This window comes from Homo sapiens, chromosome 11 (genome assembly GCF_000001405.40).
Source record: "Homo sapiens chromosome 11, GRCh38.p14 Primary Assembly".
Taxonomy (NCBI): Eukaryota; Metazoa; Chordata; class Mammalia; order Primates; family Hominidae; genus Homo; species Homo sapiens.
This window is the reverse complement of record NC_000011.10, coordinates 36,668,139-36,674,138: the sequence shown is the minus strand read 5'-3', so window position 1 is coordinate 36,674,138 and position 6,000 is coordinate 36,668,139. Positions and strand designations below refer to the sequence as shown.

The following is a 6,000-nucleotide window of genomic DNA, read 5'->3' as shown; positions in this document are numbered from 1 at the left end:
GGGAGGTGTTTCCCAGTTAGGCTACTCAAGGGTCAGGGACCAACTTGAGGAGGCGGTCTGTCCGTTCTCAGATATCAAACTCCATGCTGGGAGAACCACTACTCTCTTCAAAGCTGTCAGACAGGGACGTTTAAGTCTGCAGAAGTTTCTGCTGCCTTTTGTTCAGCTATGCCCTGCCCGCAGAGGTGGAGTCTACAGAGGCACACCAGGCCTCCTTGAGCTGCAGTGGGCTCCACCCAGTTCAAGCTTCCCAGAGGCTTTGTTTACTTACTCAAGCCTCAGCAATGGTGGATGCCCCTCCCCCCACCTCACTTCCACCTTGCAGTTCGATCTCTGTTAGCTGTGCTTGCAGTGGGGGAGGCTCCATGGACGTGGGACCCTCCAAGCCACGCATGGGATATAATCTCCTGGTGTGCCATCTGCTAAGACCATTGGAAAAGCCCAGTATTAAGGTGGAAGTGTCCCAATTTTCCAGGTACTGTCTGTCATGGCTTCCCTTGGCTAGGAAAGGGAATTCCCCAACCCTTTGCACTTCCCGGGTGAGGCAATGTCCCACCCTGCTTCAGCTCACACTCTGTGGGCTGCACCCACTGTCCGACAAGCCCCAGTGAGATGAACCCAATACCTCAGTTGGAAATGCAGAAATCACCCATTTTCTGTGTCGCTCACGCTGGGAGCTGTAGACTGTAGCTGTTCCTATTCAGCCATCTCGGAACCTCTAAAAATAATTTCTTAATAACTCCTGTATTATTTCCCCCCTCTACAGACATAAACTTAACTGCCGTTAGGGGGTATTGGATGACGATTCTTTCTGGCTACTTCCTGCTAAAAAGGGGCATCTTGTTGGAGGACAGTGGTTGGGCCTCCTCTTGAGGTCAATCTAAGTGTTCTCAGAAGAATGGTGTGTCCATGTGTGGCTCTGTCTGCAGCACCATTTGGGGTTTGATTGCTTCTAGGTGAAAAGAGATAAATTTTACAAGGAGGTTTAAAATATAGGATTAGAATATGAGTATCGAGATTACCACTGTTAATGGAGGGCCTATAGACCATAACTATGACAGTAGAGTTTGATACCTGTTAGTTACACCAATGGATTGTAATACCAGTTTGCCTCCACTAGATGTCGCTGTACATAATCAGAAACATTCATATAAAAGTAACATTCCTTTTAGGAAAAGTGGCATTGGATTGGGTGGCTAGAATAACTTTAGTGTTAACCTTGGCTACATTTTTCCTGCAATTATCAATCCTTTCATGACTTCCACAGAAAATCTCTTTCCTTTATAACCTTTGCATAACCAGGATGTGACATATTACCAAACCCAATAAGAAGTTCTAGCAAACTCAGTGATAGTAAAACTTTCATGCTTCCCTTTTGTTGGCAGCTATTATCCCTACTATAAGGATAATAATTAAGCAAAAAATATTGCAGCAATGGAAACTCTCCGTCCAATATTTCAATTAAAAGGTGCTACCGGCCAGGCGTGGTGGCTCATGCCTGTAATCCCAGCACTTTAGGAGGCCGAGGTGGGCGGATCACCTGAGGTTGGGAGTTCGAGACCAGCCTGACCAACATGGGAAAACCCCGTCTCTACTAAAAATAAAAAAGTAGCCGGGTGTGATGGCGCATGCCTATAATCCCAGCTACCAGGGAGGCTGTGGCAGGAGAGAATCGCTTCAACCCGGGAGATGGAGGTTGCAGTGAGCCGAGATCCCGCCATTGCACTCCAGCCTGGGCAACAAGAGCGAAACTGAGCCTCAAAAAAACAAAACAAAACAAAACAAAAAACAGTGCTACTGTGTATAGCTCTACTACAAATAGTAGAGTGAGTAGAGCAATTCCTGCAAGTGTGGTGTAAGTAGATAATTTCCATCTAAAATTTTACTTGCTAAGATATAGAATTTCCCTTTGGGGATCTATAAAGTTCCTTGGTTCTATTTCCCTAAACAAAGAAACCTCTGAGTTATGGGCACCCTATTCACTCTCATTACCTGGCAGAATTTACAGGATAATTGCCCAGAACTAGCATATTGATCTAGATTTTCACATTACCTATGCCTTTTTGTTTCTTCCAAGCTGCAGGAGATCACCACTTGATTCACAGGAATAAGCAGGGTTAGTCTAAAATGTAGGCAAAAAGCTGAAAAACAATTAATGAGACTATGATTTAATGACAAATGTATGATAAGCTTTGGAGCATAATGATAAGCTTTAGAGCATAGTTTCTCTCTCTAGTCCCCATTTTTGGTAAAAGCAAATTATGATAGTATTGTGTTGTTTGTAGAATAAACTTTAGTTTTATATTTGGCCTGATTATTTGCATAAAGTACAGTAAGAATAATTATTTCTATGTAAGCCTTTTGGATTGGCTTTGATGGCACTCTGTTTCAAAAGGAATCTCAGATAAGACCTCTTAAAGCCCAGCCATGAGTTTTTATCCTGTGAGTCCCAAGATAAACTTGGAGCTCCTGGACCTGTTAGAAAGTGACATTCTTTACTGACCACAGATTAGGAACCCTGTGCGGGGACTGTGTAGACAAGGGATGAGGCCAGTTCTCCCCAAGAGGCTTTTATCGGCACTGGAAGTAAAGATAGACTCTTAAAGGGAAGCATACCCTTTCGGTCAAAGCCTTGGTAAAATAACTAGCTTTTCCAGTTGTGTCCTGTTGAAAAAGAAAAATGGATCTTATTGCACTGATGCAAACAACTATATTTCCATAAGTTAAGAGTACTCACAGGCAGTTTCCAACTTCTAGAGGAACCAGGCAGACAGAAACAAACGTGCTCCAAATTTTGTTTGCAGGAGTATACCTTACTCAATTATTAAAGGCCATAAATAGTTTAAAATAAGTTTTCTTAACTCTGAAAAACAAAACAAGGATCAGCAACATTCCAAGTAAAAGTCAAAAAGGTTGCTTTAACTTTCTGAGTGCAGTCCATTTAGTTAACTCTTGTATTGCTTGACATTCGTGAACATTTCAGTTCTTCATGAGTCCCACACATTCTTTCTCTATTCCAATGTTACAATCTTCAAGGCTATTAAAAACTCACATTTGAGAACACCTGTTCAAGTTTTATAGCTTGATTATAACCTATCTTTTAAGAAGGAACAAAGCAAGACAAAATGGTCTTTGAATGACAAAATTTCCAGGATAGTTACAGTTAAAAACATGACTGACAGGCTGGGCATGGTGGCTTATGCCTGTAATCCCAGCACTTTGGGAGGCCAAGGCAGGCTGATCACGAGGTCAGGAGATCGAGACCATCCTGGCTAACATGGTGAAACCCCGTCTCTACTAAAAATACAAAAAATTAGCCAGGCATGGTGGTGGGTGCCGGTAGTCTCAGCTACTCAGGAGGCTGAGACAGGAGAATGGCATGAACACGGGAAGTGGAGCTTGCAGTGAGCCAAGATCACGATACTGCACTCCAGCCTAGGCAACAGTGTGAGACTCCATCTCAAAAAAAAAAAAAAAAAAAAGACTGACAAAGAAATTTAGTTATCTCCATGGCTTATAACTTTACCCCTAATTACTATTGATAGCATATATTTAGACATTAAAATTTTAGAAATCCCATACAATTTTGGAACATATGTTAGTATTATTCATCAAAATATAACTTAAAGAAGATTGGACATCGTTTTGGCAATTTCATGTGACAAAACATGTCAAATAATCCTGTTCACCTCTTTTCTGAATGTTTCAGGGGCCCTCTGAACCATCCAGAAAGCCAGGCATCAGGAAAGACAATTTTGAAACTTAAAGTTTGATTTTTGGGTGCCTGTTAAATGTTAGAGGTTTAAAACACTTGATGTTATGAAATAGAATTCCAAATTGCCATAAATTATTTATTTTGCCAAAACGATGACTCAAAAAGCAAAAATTTTTATTATCCTTTATTATTACATGAAAATCCTGTTTAAGCAAAATTTTACCCTTGCATTAATTTACTGATATCAATCCCAATTTCTTTAAATGGAAGCTTATAGATGATTCCATCTAATCTTAACCAATTTGACCATGAGGTGAAATCTTTACAAGCCCTTTATAACCTCTTTTACTAACGGGCAGATTAGTGTCTTAAGACACCCTTGTTGTGCTTTTATTTCAATGCTCAATTTATGAAAAGACCATGTAATATGCTTTTGAATTTAGTTAGGTTTACACATTTTTGCAAGATTAATTTTTACAATCTTTCCACAACTTACTTAAACATTTAGCTTTATCTTATTAAATGTAAGATAATCCCTTATTCCTGGGCAAAATTTGGATTTCCATGCTTTCTTATAATCTTTTACTAAAAAACACATTTCACTGTTTTTATATGCCTTGAATGTAAAACTGTTTAATGATCTCAAATACATGTTGCACTCTTAACTCTTAGCAACTTTTATTTTTGGTGAAAAGCCTGGTTAGTAAGTGTTTTTAATTGTTGTTGTGTTTCTTGAGACAGAGTCTTGCTGTCGCCCAGGCTGGAGCGCAGTGGCACGATCTCAACTCACTGCAACCTCCACCTCCTGGGTTCAAGCAATTCTCCTGCTTCAGCCTCCCTAGTAGCTGGGATCACAAGCACCCGCCACCATGCCCAGCTAATTTTTGTATTTTAGTAGAGACAGGGTTTCACCATGTTGGCCAGGCTGGTCTCGAACTCCTGACCTCAAGCAATCCACCTACCTAGGCCTCCCAAGTGCTGGAATTACAGGCATGAGCCACCGCACCCAGCCAGTAAGTGATTTTAGTTATGTACCAGCTTAAATATTAAAGTCACACGAACTAAAAAATATTTCAGTGCTTATTTTTTCTTTAAGCCAATTAATTGGAGCTCTTTTTATAGACATCACACAAAACACATACACAGCGACACAGACAGAAGATTCAGCACTTGTAAGATTTTTATTTGACGCTTTCATAACTGGATTACTGGCTTCAGGGTGGAGCCCTTGGAGGAACAGGGCCGGGATGGCATGCATCTTTAGGGACTAATAAGCAAGCACAGCCACAGGTAAAGACAGATCTGGAAAATTAAGGATGCCTTTTTATGCTGGATTTTTGGATCCCCAAAAGGAGGGAGAGCCATCTTTTAAAGAGTGTATTTCTTACTTAATTATTACACACCAAAGCTCTCTCCTAATGTGAAGTAATTTGATACCCCCAAAACTCAAAATGGCCAGATAACACAAGGCAAAACAGAACAGAGCCTTTGATTTTGAGAGGGAAGTATCTGCTTTTAATTCCTGGGGTTTCATGAGGAAAACAGAGGTTTTTTTCCCAAAACAATGTCTGTGGCACCTCCTCTGTTTTCCCACGGAGTCCCATGCTACCAGAAGTTATCTTAGGGCCTCTCATGTATGCATTAAGTGTGGCAAGACAAAAAACGGAGAAAAATAATTCAGTAGACTGAGAAGAAAAAAACCTTTTTCCAGAAAAACAAGATCCAAGAAGCGAAAACCATAAAGGCCTTTTAAATATACCTATAACTTGAATATCCACTTTTGATTAAGCTGAGTGCTGTTTAAGAAAATCCTTTTAAATCCCTTGTTACTCTACTTTAGCCACGCCAAGCAGTTAAGATTTTTCAGCTTTTGAACTTTACAAAAAGTAACCTCACAGGTGAAACCAACAAACCTTAATTAGGTTATGATTAACCACAGGTGTACAAGATATCTTCAAAGTGGGTGACAGGCAATTTTTGAAACCATCATTGCAAAATTGTCACTGAGACACTGAAAGAGATTCAACCCAACCAACTCCATTTTGTTTCCAGCCCCTAAGTCGTCCTTGCGCATCCCTGGGAGTGGGCCGAACCAATTTTGGGAGGAGCCTGATTTACAGTTTATAGTCTAAAACAAAGATGATAACAGCCACTTCATCATATATACTTCCTTCTTGCCTGGGGACCAGACCAAGAAACTAGCCACAAGATTAAAAACCATGGCCCAGGAGCCAAGCAGCTGGAGGCTACAAAACTCCGATCCTCCATCAGCTGCTCTCAAGATC

The 6,000-nt window shown here is 40.7% G+C and overlaps 1 long non-coding RNA gene across 1 annotated transcript; it reads right to left on the bottom strand.

The window, feature by feature from the left end:
• Window positions 1–676: 676 nt before the first annotated feature.
• LOC107984325 (uncharacterized) lies at window positions 677–3,250 on the bottom strand. The gene is made up of 3 exons (XR_001748186.1): window positions 2,617–3,250; window positions 2,054–2,141; window positions 677–952 (listed from the first exon to the last, which is right to left on the bottom strand). It is a non-coding gene; the product is annotated as an uncharacterized LOC107984325 (long non-coding RNA).
• Between the last annotated feature and the right edge of the window lie 2,750 nt (window positions 3,251–6,000).